At 37.1% G+C, this 18422-nt stretch overlaps 1 annotated feature.

Moving 5' to 3' along the window:
- Window positions 17445-17981: an enhancer, noted in NCBI's record as "NANOG hESC enhancer chr16:61357837-61358373 (GRCh37/hg19 assembly coordinates)". NCBI's record gives its function as "activates a minimal SCP1, AML or CMV promoter by ChIP-STARR-seq in primed H9 embryonic stem cells {active_cell/tissue: H9 hESC(primed)}" and the evidence as "EXISTENCE:reporter gene assay evidence [ECO:0000049][PMID:30033119]".

Consider the following 18422-nt stretch of genomic DNA (forward strand, 5'->3'; position numbering starts at 1 on the left):
TGTAAGTGATGTCTGGAAGTACCAGTAGGAGAGTAGGACAAATATTTTCTTATTTTTATTTTGTTTTGAGACAGGGTCTCGCTCACGCATGCAGGCTGGAGTGCAGTGGTGCTGTCATGGCTCACTGTAGCCTCAATTTCTTGGGCTCAAGCAATCCTCCCTGCCCAGCCTTTCAAGCAGCTGGGACTACAGGTGTGTGCCATCACTCCTGGATAAGTTTTATAGGTTTTATTTTTTTTGAGAGAGAGGGGGTTTTGCCACGTTGTCCAGGCTTGTTTTGAACTCCTGGGCTCAAGTGATTCACCTCCTTCGCCTCCCAAAGTGCTGGGATTACAGGGATGAGCCACCGTGCTTGGCCGAGAGTAGGAAAATTAAGGAAGAAACAAAGGCAATGTAGAGCATGTTAATGAACAGGTTACTCTTATGGGCATTTGAGGCTCATTCCAATTGCTGACTTCTAGTAGATTTCATGGGATGCTCCTCAGAGATAGTCCTCACAAAGAATGAGGAAGTTGAGGTATTTACCCATAGATCCCCTTCCCTGAGTGGCTGAACGCTGATCCCAGAGGTGTAAACTTCTAGCCACTTCCATCTTATTCAGGTTCCCTCAAGAGCCAATTGCAGGATACCGTGGCAAGCACAAGAGAACAAGTGCAAGGAAATATGGACTGAGCATCATGGTGCCACACTGAGGCTGGCACACAATACCCTTTTAAGAAAAATGTCATTTAATTTTTACAGCAAACCTATGAAGTCGGTTTCTAATATTATCCACTTTATACAGTTGACAGAATGGTAGCCCAAAGATTACCTTTAAGTTACTTTTTTCAAGGTCCTGCATCTAAGAAGTGGCAGAGTTGAAATTTGAACCCATGTCTATACTCTGTTCATAAAACGGAGTAGAACCTAGGTCTCAAGGTGTCTATTTCAGAGCTATTTTTAATATCTCTCCAAAAGTAATTTAAACAAATACAACTGAATATATTGCTTTTTAAAATGATATTTACTCATGCTTTTCTAGATGTGAAAATCTGCCTCAATAAATATATATTTTTAAAAACATAAAAAGTACACCTTTTAAAGCAAATTTTAGTGAAGCTTTAGAAGGAGAAAACAAACAAACAAAAAACATGTAGACTGTATGAACTGAAAGTCCTGAGAACGCAAGAACATAATTTTATGTGCTTATGGCAATTAAAAGAGGTTAACTGAGTAGCATTTAAATGCAAAATCACATTTTCATATGACTGGAGGGGAATCTGTGTGCAGTTGGCTAATAAGAACCAATGGTGATTATTAGGTGGGGCCATGATCTTTGAATGTCTGATCCCACTTCTATACAGTGAATATCAAGGTTCAATATTGCTTTATTTGCTTTTTAAAACCCAACCAAAACCAAAAACCCAACTAATTTGATTTGCAGCATTAAGCATCTTACTCTTAAAGCCTATGATGTTTAAGAAAATATAGTGTTGGAGGTGAGGCATAGCCACGGTGTGCTTCTCAGCTCTGTTCATTCTATTTGGAAGACAGATAGAGGGACAGCGTGTCTATAGATTTGACAGAATCTGTTAAATTAAAACAACAACAACATCAGAAAGAGACAGGATGACCTTCTTCCATAGAATCTGAGATGGTGGATGATGGATGGCTTGTTGATGATCGGAGCAGTCGGGTACCAGGATCATGAGACTTACAAGTCCGAGGTCAAACAGACTGGCCTTGTAGCACCCTTGACCCTGTGGGGACCGTAGGCAAATTATGGAGCTCTTTTGAACCTCAGTTTCTGCATTCGTTGAAAAAGGACTGAGGTTCATTCTTATAGCAGGGTTGCATGAAGATTCTATCAGGTAAAGCATGTAGCTGAGCAATCACACATCCCAATTTGCATGGGACCGTCATGGAGTCATTATATATTTTACTTTCACTTTTAAGAGGGTTCCAGTTAGGATTATCATTTAAATGGTCACTCTAAGGAGCAAGAACATAGAACAGTGCCTGGAGTGAGTGAGTCCTCAGTGAATGTTTGCTTATTTTTGCTAAAGTCATTGCTAGTGTTTTTACTGTTATACTGTATTAGTAAGACAAGTAATTTCCATACACTATGTATTTTCAACATATATCCTAGAAGCTAAGTAAAAGTGATGTGTTTTATATATTCTAATCAGTTTGTGATTTTTAGTTCCTTTAAAACTTTAGATGGAAATGAAATACGTTTATATTAAGATGTGCTACATAAAACCTGTGTGTCTAATATTTAATAGATGAACAGTGTATTTACACTACCAGGGTTCAGCCCAGAGTTGACTTTACGTAATTTGAACTCCAAACAGTAAAACTTGCAGCTGAATTATTTGTAATCAGCTTAATTTCCTTCTTTATTTTTTACAGTTTGTGGGCTGCATATAACCCTACTCCAATCGAAGTGTATTTTATTCTGGCATTGCGATATCAAAACCAGATTTGAAAGAGGAATATAGATGTCCAATATCCATGAAAACCTCAATTAAACTCCTTAATACAATCTTCTAAAATTTTATGTTTCAGTTAGGGACAGTTCTCACCTCGAAACCTAACACATTATAAGGCAATGAGGCATACACACACACACACACACACACACACACACACACCTCACCACATATATATTGTTATTTAAAGGAACTGAATATATCTTTGGAAAGCCAATAAAATTTGGGCTGGAGGCAAGTGAATGTATCCAAAATAGGAATGAGACTGTCGCCTATGAATTGAGAAAAAAAAAATTTTAAATAAAGATTCTAAAACCTGTGATCCAAAGATTCTTTATGGAAGCATTCTGATATAAATAGTAAAATAAGAATAATGCCATCAAAAAAGAAACAATCATAAAGAACATAATAAAAAGACCCTAAGACGAAGAAGAGGAGATTGTCAGATAAAGACTAATGTCTATTTTTTATTTTTATACTCACTAAATGTAATGTTGTGGTGGATTAATGGAAGCTAAAAATTCCCCACTCTGCCCAGAAGGCAGAACTCCATACTCCTTGTCTTGAATCTGGGATGAATGGGAACTCAGCTGCTACTGTGAAATCTGAAGACATGTGTTAATGACTTCCAGACAATAAAGCGGTGAGTAGAAGATGAATGGGCCACAGAGAGACTACCAGTGAGGGCTAGGACAGTGAGGAAATGGTTCTATGAGGAAGTCTATGTTACTTCCACCCCACTTTTTGGGAACAGGAGTGTCTACTGCCATCTTGCAGTTAACTTATATCTGCCACACTGCTCTTTGTTGGGTAAACAAAGAGTGTACACATACACATACACACACACACACACAATTTTATGCTTAAAATTATATATATATGTATGTATGTTTTCTTTTAGCCAATTTTTTAATGTGTTTGTGTCTGAAAACTATTTAAAAAATATTGGAAGATGGGCTGCATTGACATCAAAGGCAATGGGAATCCCTTAGCCCTGAGAATCTATAAAAGGGCATCTAACCCCTCCAACTCCCATTTCAGCTGCAGAGTTATCCACAAGCCTATTGGTGGTGAGCATGCTCATTTTGTTAGCAAGTTACTAATCTAGAGGCTAAAAAGTTCACATCCTCCAGACTTTCTTTTTCCTACCCCTTTCCTAGCAACCTCTCAGTTTATGCAAACATGGGGGCAAGCACACTCACTGTGGAGTTTTTGCTCTGAGTTAGAGTGTATCCACCTCTGACCTGTGGCTTCTTAGGCAGCTTCACCTGTCCAGGGGCTACCGTAATATCTCACTGGCTTTGAAAGACACATGGGCTGCATTAGTTTAGTTGGTTCACTGTGTATGAATAAAACATTGCTTAACTTCTTCAGATTTAGTTTCCTTTTTATTCACTTAAAAGTTGCATCTACCTGACATAATTTTGTGAGCATGAAATAAACTAATGTGGAAAGCAGTCACTGCAATGCTGGGCGCACGCTTGGCACATCCTCAGTAAATAGGAGAAGTATGGGATAAGTCAGAGTAATGAGTGTTATTGTGATAATGAGGCTAGTCATAATGGCATCACTTAAATGATTTGCTAAGTGCTAGGTACTATTCTAAGCAGTGGGCATATATTGACTCATTTAGATCTCACAGTAATGCTACAATGCTAGTCTTACATTATCATTTTAAAATGAGAAGACTGGTGCATATATGAGTTCAGTATCATATCCAAGTTCAGCATAGCTACTGCTGCTGCTGCTGATGATGATGATGGTAGTTACAACAGAGGCCATGAGAATAGGCAAGGAAGAGAGAAGAGGGGAAAAGAGTAGAAACAAAAGAGAGATGAAAGAATTAGAGGGAGACAACCGGACGCGGTGGCTCAGGCCTGTAATCCCAGTACTTTGGAAGGCTGAGGTGGGCGGATCACGAGGTCAGATCGAGAACATCCTGGCTAACACGGTGAAAACCTGTCTCTACTAAAAATACAAAAAATTACCCGAGCATGGTGGTGGGCACCTGTAGTCCCGGCTACTCCGGGAGGCTGAGGCAGGAGAATGGCATGAACCTGGGAGGCGGGGCTTGCAGTGAGCCGAGATCGTGCCACTGCACTCCAGCCTGGGCGACAGGGCGAGACTCCCTCTCAAAAAAAAAAAAAAAAAAAGAATTAGAGGGAGATGGGGTAAAACATGTCCATTTTGAACTGTATTTCCAGACTCAGAGAATAAGAATTTGTATTCTTGCTACCAGATGAGACTGAAAAAGACACAGAAGTTTATTATTCAACTTCATGTTTGGAAAGCAAAAGCAAGGGGCAGTGAAAGTGTGCAACTGGTCAAGGGTCTAACTTTGGAGCTATCTGGGTATGTTCATACTATATTACTTTGATCAGATTTATTTGGACAAACAGGAAATGTAACTAAGCAACAAGCGGAAACTAAAGAGATCATATTTAGAATTTGGTAAGAAGTGAAATGAATTTGAATGTTCTTTACTGCTGGAGCTATAATTATAGGTTTTAACTACCTGCCGGGGGTAGAAAGGGAAAGGGAATAAAATGGTTTAGCATGAGTCAAAAAATTATCTTCGAGTGGCATGCCAGAAAATGTTGACTTAAGAAGTAATTGTTCTTATTAACTTTTATCTGAGGTAATTTCATAATTGATCTAGAAATATAAATAATAACATAATGTTTGCACTTTTAGAAGGAAAGCTCTCTTTAAGGTTAGTAATATCTGTAATTTGTCAAGAAATTTTTTTTCCTACCTTCATCTCCTCTGTGTACCACTTCAAAGAAAATCAAGCATTTTCAGGCATTCCAAAAGGTATCTGTGTCTGTTAGAACAGCCTTTACTAAAATTAAGTTGGCAGGTTACTTATCGGGGGATGGGTCGCCAAAATCTCAGAATTCACTACTAAAGAACTTATTATACATGTAATAAAATACCACCTGTACTCCAAAAACTATTAAAATAAAAAATATTTTTAAAAGAATAACTTTATGATTGAGAAATCACATTACAAATAAATATCCTTGGACTCCAACAAAGAAATGCTATACCATAATCTCTGATAAAGAGTCCCAGGAATTTTCATCTTTAATAAGCAACCCAGGTGATTTTATTTCTTTCAGTCATGCTTTGAAAACAAAATCTAAAAAATGTGTCTTTCTAGTGTAATCAAGAACTTCTCTATTTCACTGCAGCTTCTAATCATAATTTTGTGTCTCCAAATAGTTATGCCAATGAACTGAGATTCTTTTTCTTACTTAGAAACACTGCCTTTACACTACAAAATAGTTTTAAAGCTTTGAGGACATGAGTCCTTTTTCTCAGTTTCTTAGCATTGGAACAGGAAGAAAAACACAGAAGTATTGGTATTCGTAGATATGGGTTGAAAGAGCTCAAAGCAAACTTGAAGATATCCTAGGCACTAGCAAACATCTGACTTGCCCCATGAAAGTATAAGGGAACTAGGAAGGCCGTATGTCAAAGATAATCAAGTGTAATTACCCTGCATCTGAACCAGAACTCTATTTCTCTCAATTACTAAATCCAGAAAAGAAACTTAATGGAAGATACGTATTATACAGAGTCCCTCAGAAATAAAGAAGGAATCCTACTTTATATTAATAGTATGTTAAACCATTACATAATATATATATGATATAAATATTCTTCCTCTTTCTTGACTGCATGGAAAATCCTAGAAATTCTGGAAAGGAAACAGTAAATAAAAGCTTTCTTTTGATCTCCGTTTGCAAGGGCACTAGTTTTCTATGACTTGGTGGAGAGCATCATGATTATGGTCTTTAATGACAAGAAGGACTGACATAAGTAACATAAGCTTAAAGATTTAGGCTTGAACATTGGGGGAGGAGGACCAGGATCAATAGGTTGAAGTAACTGGAAAGTAGATTTCTGAATCCATATAAAAATATTTGTGCAAAGTCTAAGATGACAAACAGCAGAATAGACTTTCCTAACAGTTACTAAAATTACAGCCCACTAGGAGGATCCAAGCAGAAGCCACATAAAATGTACTCCTGAGTACATTCAAAGAGAAGGTATGGCTGGTTGAGATAGTAACTAAGAAGATCCTCATTTTTTCTTCCTATGACTGTCTTATTCACACTTTTGGTTCTGTGGTTTTATTTATTTAATGACATAATTCTTTGTCATCTTTCTTTTACTTTGTCATCTTTTCTTTTCTTTTACTTTGAAGTGTGTGTTGTTTAAAAGGTAAGTTTCAGAAACATGATGAGCATATTGGGACAGAGGTAAAAAATGTTTATTATGTTTCCAAGAAGATTATGTATTGTTCACCAGCTGTTGCATATTAATCTATCTTAATCTTTCTGCCATCTGTCTTTAGTTACCCCCCAAAATTAGACTGTCCTAAAAACTAGACAGGATAAAGAATAATATAAAGACGTGTGAAATGGAATTAATTATAATCAAGTTTCATACTTACATCAATGCCAATCTAATTCACCTTGCCATAAAGAAGCTGAAATGAATGAATAAAAGTTACTGTTGTTTTAGGACTTACATATTATCTTTTGAAAATAAACATCTTTGCACATTAAAAGCCACTTGAGGTTTCTGGTTCCACATGCAAGAAGCTTCAAAGTTGCTAGTCCATTGTAACAAGAAGTAAAAAGCTGAAAAAAATTGAAGAAACAATAACTGTTCTTATTAGGTTTGTTTAAAAGTAATTACAATTTTTTGCTTTTGAACCAACCTAATAGATCTTAAGACTGTTAAGGACATAGGACAAACTGCTGCCCTCAAGACTGGAGAGAGAAATAGGCAAATACAAGGAGTCAGAAGCAGAAAGCACTGTGGGAACAACTACAGGATTAGGGGAACTTAAATTGTAATAAACAAATTGCTGGGTTCAGTGTGGACAAGTCTGAGAGTTACAAACTACGGGAGATTCCAGTTGTATGGAGCCCCCACAATCTTGTGAATTTACCACCAGGAGGTTGACTAGCTTTTCACTGGTCAGTTCAGTGAGTTAGAGGAAATTCCCCTCATGCTTCCTGCAGAGGAAATGAAGGAAGAATCATTTTGAAATAAGCCCATACACTCTATTCTTAGTAAAGTCTGCCCTCAGGAGAAATCAGTTAATCACATCCTAATCTGCTGAGACACTCTCAGAGCCCAGCTGATCTTAGGGAAGGGTATTACACAACTCCCATCAGCCATAGCCATCCACATGGGGGGGAAAAAAAAGAAAAACATGTATTGTTCACAGTCCAGAGACAAAGGCTGACTAACTGAGACCAAACCGTGGGACCGTAGAACTCTTCCCCATCCCAACACCTTACTATCACATCACTACATGCCTATTTTTAACAGTTCCTTTCACATGATACATCATGTCTGGATAGAAAGAAAAAAATTTACAAGGTATACTAAAGGCAAATCAATAAAAAGAAAAAAAAAAAACCACACAATTTGAAGACACAGAGCAATCAGGACCAGGCATAGCAAGGAAGCTGGAATTAGAAATTTAAAGCAACTATGTTTAATATGATAAGGACTCCAATGGATAATGTAGACAGCATGCAAGAACAGATGGCCAATCTAAGCAGAGAGATGGAAATTCTAAAAAAGGATCAAAAAGAAATACTAGAGATCAAAAATACAGTAACAGAAATGAAGAATGCCTTTGATGGGATTAGTACTAGTTGACACAATGGAAAAAATAATTTCTGAGATTGAGGATATCTCAACACAAATCTCCAAAGCTGAAGAGCATGAAGAAAAAATAAAAAAGACTGAAAACAAAAGAGAATTTCCAAGACAGTTGGACAACTACAAAAGGTTTAACAACTATAATGGGAATACCTGAAAGAGCAGAAATATTAGAAGGAAGAGAAGAAACATGTAAAACAATAACCACAGATACAAGAAGGTGGCTAGGCGCATTGAACCTTGCCTATAATCCCAGCACTTTGAAAGGCCAAGACAGGCGGTTGCTTGAGCCCAAGATTTTGAGAACAGCCAGAGCAACATGATGAGATCTTGTCTCTATAAAAAATATTTTAAAAATTAGCCAGGTGTGGCTGGGCATGGTGGCTCACGCCTGTAATACCAGCACTTTGAGAGGCCAAGGCAGGCAGATCACCTGAGGTCAGGAGCTTGAGACCGACCTGTCCAACATGGAAGAAACCCCATCTCTACTAAAAATACAAAATTAGCCGGGCGTGGTGGTGCATGCCTGTAATCCCAGCTACTCGGGAGACTGAAGCAGGAGAATCGCTTGAACCCGGGAGGCAGAAGTTGCAGTGAGCCAAGATCGTGCCATTGCACTCCAGCCTAGGCAACAAGAGCAAAACCTCTATCAAAAAAAAAAAAAAAAATTAGCCAGGTGTGGTGGCATAAGTTTATGTCCCCGGCTACTTGAGAGGCTGAGGTGGGAGGATTGAGGATTGTGTAAGCCTAGGAGTTCCAGGCTGCAGTGAGCCATACTCATGCCACTTGCACTTCAGTCTGAGCAACAGACTGAGAAGATCCAGTCTCAAAACAAAACAAAACAAAAACAAAAACAAACAGAAAGCCTGAAAAAACAAAACCCCAAAAAGCTAAGAGGGCACAAAGCAAGATAAAAGCAAGTAAAACTATACCTAGGCATATTATTTTTAAACTACAGAAAATCAAAGATAAGGAAAAAATTCTAAAAGAAGCCAGCAGTGGAGGAAATGTTACCTATAGAGAAGGAAGGTAACAATTGCCTCCAACTTCATGGAAAATTTTTCAGGCAAGAAGAGAATGGAGTGAAGTATGTAGTGTTCAGAGAATAAAACTACCAACCTAGAATTCTGTACCCTGTAAAATTATCCTTCAAAAGTAATGCAGAAATATAAGCCTGTCTTAACAAATAAAAACTGAGGGAATATGTTATCTACAAGATATGTCAAAAGGAGATCCTTAGAAAGAAGGAAAATAATGTAGTTTAGAAATGCATATATAATAAGGAAAAGAAGAGCCGTGGAGAATAAATGCAGGTAAAATAACAACTTTTTGTTTTTATCCTTAATTGATACAACAGATAACTCTCTTTTCAAAATAATAATAGCTAAAATATATTTTATTATGTATGCCTGTGTGTGTGTGTCTGTGTGTGTGTGCGTGTGTGCATGTGCATGGATGCCTATCTGTTTGTATATAAATGAAATAACAGCAATGACATAAGGTATCAAAGGGAGATATCAGAATTATTTTGTTATTATAAGTTACTCACACTAACCATAAAGTACAGTGTTGTTTGGACATGGATTAGTTGTAGTATATTGCAGACTTTAATGCAACCACTAGAAAAAGTAAAAAATACATACAAAAAAGAACTATAACTGAAAATAGGAACAAGGAACAATGCCAATTAATAGAAAATGGTAACAAATATGATAGCTGGCAATTAATTATTTTTAAGCTATTAATTCTTTTTTTTAAGACAGAGTCTCAATCTGTCACCCGGGCTGGAGTGCAGTGGCACAATCTTGGCTCACTGAAGCCTCTACCTCCCAGGTTCAAGAGATTCTCCTGACTCAGCCTCCCAAGTAGCTGGGATTACAGGTATGTGCCATCATACCCAGCTAATTTTTGTATTTTTAGTAGAGATGTGGTTTCACCATGTAGGCCAGCTGGTCTCAAACTCCTGACCTCCAGTGATCTGCTTGCCTCAGCCTCCCAAATTGCTGGGATTACTGGTATGAGCCACCATACCCAGCCTAATAGCAATTAATTATATTATATCAATAATCACTTAAAATGTCAGTGGTCTAAATGCAGTAATTGAAAGACAAAAATTGTTAGAGCATATCAAGAAACAAGAACCAATTATATGTTCTCTACAAGAAACCTACTTTAAATATAAGGACACGCATATATAAAAAGTAAACGGTGAAAGATATACCATGCTAACACTAATGAAAAAAATGTGACAATAGCTATATTAACTTCAGAGCAAGGAAAGTTATCCGGGATAAAGAAGGACATGGTGTAATAATAAAGGGCTCAATTCTTCAGAAAACATAACAACTCTTATGTGTATGTGCCTAATGAAAGAGTGTCAAACTATGTGAGGCAAAAACTAAAAGAAGAGGGAGAAGTGAATGAATCTAATATTGTTGGAGGTTTCAATATCCCTCTGTCAGAAGTGGACAGATCCAACAGACAATAAATCAGTAAGGACACAGTTAAACTCAGCAACACCATCAGTCAACTGAATATAATTGGAATCAGACTACTTTAGCCAAGAGCTGAATATACATTTTTCTCAAGTTCACATGAGACATTCACCAAGATAGGCCACATTCTTGGCCATAAGGCACCACTTAACAAATTTTAAATAATAAAAATCATACCATGTCTGTTCTTAGACCACATTGGAATTAAACTAAAAATCAATAACAGAAAAATAACTGGAAAATCTCAAAATATGTGGAGATTAAGAAACACATTTTTAAATAATAACTGTGTCAAAGAAAAAAATTCAAAATAATTTTTAAAAATTTAAACTAAATAAAAATTAAAATCCAACATCACAATTAATGAAATGCAACACAAGCAGTGGGATGCTTATGAAATATGTCGGGTGTTTAGAGCAAAATGCATAGCACTGTATGCACATATTGGAAGAAGAATAATCTAAAATCAATAATCTAAGTTTCTGCCTAGGAAACTAGAAAAATAAGAGCAAATTCAATGCATTGTAAGGAGAAGAAAACCAAAAAGAATTAGAGCAGAAATCAATGAAATTGGAAAGACAAAATCAAGAGAAATTTTTTTTTTTTTTTTTTTTTTTTTTTTTTTTTAGACAGAGTCTGGTTCTGTCGCCCAGGCCGGAGTGTGCAGTGGCCAATCTCGGCTCACTGCAAGCTCTGCCTCCCAGGTTCATGCGATTCTCCTGCTTCAGCCTCTAGAGTAGCTGGGACTAGAGGTGCCCGCCACCACGCCTGGCTAATTTTTTGTATTTTTAGTAGAGACGGGGTTTCACTGTTAGCCAGGATGGTCTCTATCACCTGACCTCGTGATCCACCTGCCTTGGCCTTCCAAAGTGCTGGGATTACAGGCGTGAGCCACTGTGCCCGGCTGAGAAAATTTTTTAAAAAACTCAAAAGCTAGTGCTTTCAAAGATCAATAAAAGAATAAAATCAATAATAATTCAGACAATCTAAGAAAAAAAGCAAGGATACAAATTACAAATATCAGAAATGAGGGGCTTCCCTACATATTTCATGGGCCATATACTAAGAATAACTCTATTTCCACAAATTTGCTAATCTCGATTAAATGAACCAATGCCTTGAGAGACACAATCTGTCAAAACTCACGCAAGTAGAAATAAGCAATCTTAATAGCCTTACATCTATTAAAGAAATCGAATTAATAATTATACCCTTCCAAAACAGAAATCGCCAGGCCCAGATGAGTTCAGTGGTGGATTCTACCACCCCTTTAAGAAAAAAAAATACCAATGGTCTATAATCTCATTCAAAGGATAGAAGCAGAGGGAATATTTTTAAACTCATTCTATGGGGCTGGAATTAATCTAAAACCAGGCTAAGACATTACAAGAAAAGAAAAAGAAAAATAAAGACAAATTATCACATGAACATAGATTCACAAAGTATCCACAAAATATTAGCAAATCAAATCCAAAAATGATTTAAAATAATTATACAGCACGACCAAATGAGATTTATTCCACTTATGTATACCTGGCTCAACACTTGAAAACTGATGAACATAATGCATCACATGAACAGCCCAAAACAAAAAAAACACATGATCATCATAAATGCACGCGGAAAAAGCATTTGACAAAATCCAACATCCAAGACCCATTCATGATGAAAACTTTCAGTAAACTAGGAATAGAAGAGAATTCCCTCAACTTGATAATGGTTATCTACAAAAAACCTACAGTTAACAACATACTTAATGATGGTATACTAGAAACTTTTCCACTAAGATTAGGAACAAAACAAGGAGCTACCCTCTAATCACTCTTTTTTTTTTTTTTTTTTTTTTTGAGACAGTCTCGCTCTGTCACCCAGGCTGGAGTGCAGTAGCGTGATCTCGGCTCACTGCAAGCTCCGCCTCCCAGGTCCACACCATTCTCCCACCTCAGCCTCCCAAGTAGCTGGGACTACAGGTGCACACCGCCACACCTGGCTAATTTTTTGGATTTTTAGTAGAGACGGGGTTTCACCATGTTAGCCAGGTTGGTCTCGATCTCCTGACCTTGTGATCCGCCTGCCTCGGCCTCCCAAAGTGCTGGGATTACAGGCTTGAGCCACCGTGCCCGGCCTCTAATCACTCTTTTTAAACATTGTACTGAAAGTCCCAGCAGATGCAATAAAATAATAAAAGGTAGTAAAAGCAATACAGACTGTAAAGGAAGAAATAAAACTGTGTTTGTTTGCTGATGTCATGATTATGTAGAAAATATGAAAGACTCGACAAGAAAAACTTCTGGAAATAATAAGAGGTTGTAGCAAGATTGCAGAATACAAGTTTAATCCAGTGAAGTCAATCACTTTCTTAAATACCAACAATAACAATACTTGATGAAAAAAATAAAAAAAAAAGAACTAAGTAAATGGAGAGTTATTCCACATTCATGGATAAGAAGGCTTAAAATTTCAAGATTTCAATTCTTTCCAACTTAATCTAAATAGATTCCATACAATCCAACTCAAAATCCCAGCAAGTTATTTTGTGGATATCAACAAAGTGATTCTAAAGTTTATATAGGGAGGAAAAAGACTAAGACTAGCCTACACAACATAGAAGAAGAAGAACAAAGTTGGAGAACTCACACTATTCAACTTCAAGATTTACTATTAAGTTACCGTAATAAAAACAATGTAGTATTGAAAGAATAAACAATGGATAGATCAATGGAAGAAAATAGCCTAGAAATAGACCCACATAAATATTATCAACTGATCTTTGATAAAGGAGCAAAGGCAGTACAACGGAGGAAATATAGTCTTTTCAACAAATGGTGCTGTAACCACTGGGCATCCACTTGCAAAAAATAAAGCAACGACCCTTTTCAAAAAAATAACTCAAAGTAAATTATAGACTACGTTGTGTCAATGTAGGTTTATACATTGTAACAATGGTACCACCTTTTATAATTGTCACAATTGTACCTCCTTGGTGGGGAATGTTGATAATGGGGGAAGTCTATGCCTGTGTGGAGGCAGGTAGCATATGAGAAATCTCTGTACCTCTATGTTTTGCTGTGAACCTGTAAGTGCTTTTAAAAAAGTCTTTTAAAATAATGCATACTTACTATAGTGCATGCTGATGAATTTTTTAATGGTTTAAGTTAATAAGACATGCCTAAAATCAGATTTCTAAATTTGTCTAATCCCCTTTGTGGGTAGAAATCCAGAGGCATGTTACTTTGAAAATTAAAATAATTTGGAATCCCATTTGCTTATCTGCTGATTTTTTGTGTGTAGATTAAATTGGTGCATGATATTATTAATACGGAAGAATAATAAAATACAGAATTTTAAATATCAAGCTAGAATGAACTATTGCTAGTTTAGGTTATCTTAATTAGGATTCTTTTGCAAATTATTGAAGTATTTCTTCAAAAAATTTTAAAAGGTTTAAACATTTTAAAAAATGTACTTAAGTAAACTATGTTTAAAGAACAAAATTTACAGCTTGAACCCAGACTCTGGGGTGTGAGATATCTCATCTTGGAAACTGTGCCTATTAATTAATAACTAATAAATGAGAGGGTACATCCATAAATATATGTGAACAAATTTTCTTTTTTATGATTATTTTACACTATGAATTTTGTTTTGCATCTTATAGAGACAAAGTTATCTTACACATAGTTTTACCAAATATATTTAATGTGCCTGATTTGCACAACTTGATCCTGAATAGAATAATGTTGTATGTACATGTGAGCATTTTAATACTTCAGTCTGTTGGGCTTTGAACTTCTCATTAGGAATTATGTGCTCCCATTTTTACTACCTGGTCATGTGAGTAACTTCAGGCCCATAAAATCTGTACATGCAAGCCTGAGTCCTTCTTTCACAACTAATGTCAATTGTTAAAAGATTAGGCCAGTGTTTTAGTCCAAGACCTATTTTATTCCTTCAGACTGTATAAGCGAACTTTTTCTATGAATTTTCTAAGGCTAAAAAAAAAAACCTGTCCACTGACACTTAAAATAACCAAGATCAAATTAATTACTTAAAAAATTAAATTTTATTTTAGTTTTGAAAAAAATAAATTTACATTAACGGAGGTAACTGTACAAAAAGATTTACTTAGCCACTACTCAGTTTTGATAATTATACAGGTATTAATCCATTTTCTTAAATTATTCTTTTTTAAAATATTTTTTGTAAGTTCCTTTAAATATTTGAAAATGTACCTTGAGCATCATGGCATTAGACTTCCACTTAACATCAGTGTATCTCTCTACCTCTCTATCTCTATGTACGTCATTATATGACATAAAAATATATAAACATATGTCTATAATAAAAATTGTAAAATACTATTTTTATAGAACAGTAATGTCAGTATCATACCTAACATATTTAAATATTGTAAAGTCTACTCTTGAGGATTTTGGCTCAGCTAGATACTTAAATTCACAAGAATTAAGTAGCCCTATTTGGCATTGACAGATAAAAGGAGAGAAAACAACAGAGCATGCCAGGACAGCATTAAATATGCTTATTCAACAGAAGTCTTCAAAGAAATTCATCCAGTGACCCAAAAACTATTCTTTGTGTCTCTATCCAAGTTTCTTCTCAGGTATGAGGGCATGAGGTCACATTTGTTGGAGCCATCTTGGCTTAGAAACTTCATATCCAAAGAATCCCAAGTTAGGAAAGATTCTGACAAAGCTCTGGTTTCCCAGAAAGTAGTTGCAGTTCATTCGTAGTTTCCTTGGATGAGATGCCTTCTACCAGTCTCAGGATGACTTTAAAATTAAGGAACAGGCACACAGGAAGGCAGCTGACATTTTAGGATTACAGGTCTTCCAGGAGAATACAGCCAGAATCTTGACCCAAGATCAACTGTGCAATAAAAAAGGGAAAAACTTTGGCCCCTTACTCAAAGTCCACCTCCAAGTGCTAATACTTTTGCCATAGAAAAAGCAAGTCAATAGACATTTGACCATGAGGATTTGAACCACAAGTATCTAAAGGGTATTAGAATCCTCCTCATTCCCTAATTAGTTGAACTATTTTGGGAAAGAACAAATAGTTTTATAGGTCTCACAATGTTTGATTGTCCTGATGATCATAAGGCAAATTTACATCAAATAGCATTAAATGACAACAAGCAGAGATCAGTAAATATTTTATTTCTTTTAGCATAAGTGTTCTTTCAGGGGTAGCATAGGTAAATCTAGGGTTTCATCAAATCTGAAGGCACAGTTATACACCTATGACAACAAAGAACAGTGTTATTCTTCTGATTTGGCATGTCAAACTGAAATTGCAGTCCCAACATTGGCAGTGGGTGTGTAGTTAAATCGGTGTACAAAACTATGGCTTAAGATTTATCTGTAGGTGGCCGGGCGCGGTGGCTCACGCCTGTAGTCCCAGCACTTTGGGAGGCCGAGGCGGGCGGATCACGAGGTCAGGAGATCGAGACCATCCCGGCTAAAACGGTGAAACCCCGTCTCTACTAAAAATACAAAAAATTAGCCGGGCGTAGTGGCGGGCGCCTGTAGTCCCAGCTACTTGGGAGGCTGAGGCAGGAGAATGGCGTGAACCCGGGAGGCGGAGCTTGCAGTGAGCCGAGATCCCGCCACTGCACTCCAGCCTGGGCGACAGAGCGAGACTCCGTCTCAAAAAAAAAAAAAAAAAAAAAAAAAAAAAAAAAAAAAAAGATTTATCTGCAGGTACCATCTTGTAGCTAGCTGCAGAAATGCTTTCACATTGCTATTACTGCCATCCTTCAGAGACTCCTCAGGACATGGTCAGAGTACACCACACACATGGGGACTGAGACATTCCACAAAGGTGTATCTTTGAAATATCAGAGTTTTGGCAAGGTCCTGCCAATGTCATCAAATGCCCTTTGGATGTCAGTCTGCTGATAGCCTTTCTGGAATAATGCCTCAGCACATAATATTTTTCTTGCTTCCTCTCACTCATCTCCAGCTTTTTGAGTGCTGTAGGGTCCAAAGGTACATCTTAGTACAGAATGAAGCCCAAGTGGAACAACAGCCAATACCAACATGACAGTTCCAGCCCATTTAACTGACTACAGTTTTAGTCACAAACAAGTGATGCAGGATTTTTGCTCCTTTAGCTAAAGTCTGGGTTCTTGTTTCATCACCAGGAAAAATTAGGCAAGTGGACACCGTATAGTGAATGGAATAGAATTTATTAGGCAAAAAAAAAAAAAAAAAAAAAAAAAATGCTTTCAGCAAAGAGAGGGCTCCTAAAAAGCAGGTTGTTGGTTGTCCCCTTAACAGTTGAATACAAGGGTTTTTATATATAAGCTGATGTGGGTAAGTCCCCTAATTGTATAAAACACAGATTTCTGGTGATTTGACCCCGTTCCCTCAGTGCACATTAGGCCCTTTGTCCGCTGAGGGCATGTTTAGGCAAGCCCCCCGTGCAAGTTCCCTTATCTGCACAAAACATGAGTCAGAGGTTCTCCAGGGACTCTTCCCTTACTGTCTGCCTAAAGCAAGCTGGCTATAACTCCTTTCACAAGAGATCTGTGAATTTGAGTGTCTGCGTTGGGCCCTTGTCGAGGCGTCAGTGCATGGTTTGACCTGTATCTACTGTAATCTCTGCAAATGGTATTTGGCTTAAGATTGCATCAATCCAATGGCAGTGTCACATCTTCTTGCCAAACAATAGCTGAATTAGGGGTCAGGCCAGTCTCAGTGAGTACAGTGGGCAGTATTTCTTCTCAGCACAAACTTGCCACACTTACGTCCTTACTCAATATTCAAAATGAGAAGACATATCTCTTATCACATGCTGCAGAATTTTACCATCAAATTGAGATGGATCAGCTCCCATCTTAACATCGTAAACATCCCAATCTATTTTGTCTAGAACTCTAGCCAACTGCTGATTATTCTCTGCAAGATTCACTCCAGGTGACTGTAGGCTCAACTAGACAAACAAATTCACAAGACCCAAATAAGCCACTTTTGGCAATAGCTTCATTCATTAGGGCACGAGGACAGAAACACAGCACGACAGCAATGAGTGCCCTCTCAGCAGGTTACTATGACGGGAGCCTCTTCAATGATTGTCCTCAGGAGTTCAAGCCATTTTCCAGGGACTGTTCTCTTTGCCCCCTGCCAAGTAACAGCACAGATGAAAGGGGATCAGTCACATTAATAGAAGCAAGAGTTACTGGCTTAGAAATTCCATGTTTCACATAGAAGATGAGTTTGTTATAATAGTTGTATGTGCATCACCCGAATGGATCCTAAAAAAGAGCACATGCAGTCACAAGAGTAACTTCACTCTAGGGAGAATAAATCCTCTAAGTATTTATAGTTAATTCACAGTCCTCCGAGTCAAGATAAGAACTCTCCATCATGGAACGTTTTTAGAAACCTGGCCTGGAAACACAGCTAATATTGTATCTTCATTAGGTTTTCAAGAGAACAGGACTAGAAACATTTTAATTCAGGGTCAATTTTTCATGTTAAAGAAGATCAGTTTTGTAAACCATTTACACAAAACCATATATTTTTAAAATTTAATATTCAGGCCATAATATTTTCTATTTGTCTCAGTAAGGCAAACAAAAGGAAGTTTCCTATAGCCAGTATTACAGGCTCCACAGATTGTTGTGGTCTTCCCAAAGTGCTTTAACTTATACTTCCACTTGTTACTTGGTGGCCTGCTGTCCCTCAATGATAGAGGTGGTGAGGGCTAGTGTTGTCCTGATGCGATGACATTGAACCTAGAG

This window comes from Homo sapiens, chromosome 16 (assembly GCF_000001405.40).
Source record: "Homo sapiens chromosome 16, GRCh38.p14 Primary Assembly".
In the NCBI taxonomy this organism is placed as follows: Eukaryota; Metazoa; Chordata; class Mammalia; order Primates; family Hominidae; genus Homo; species Homo sapiens.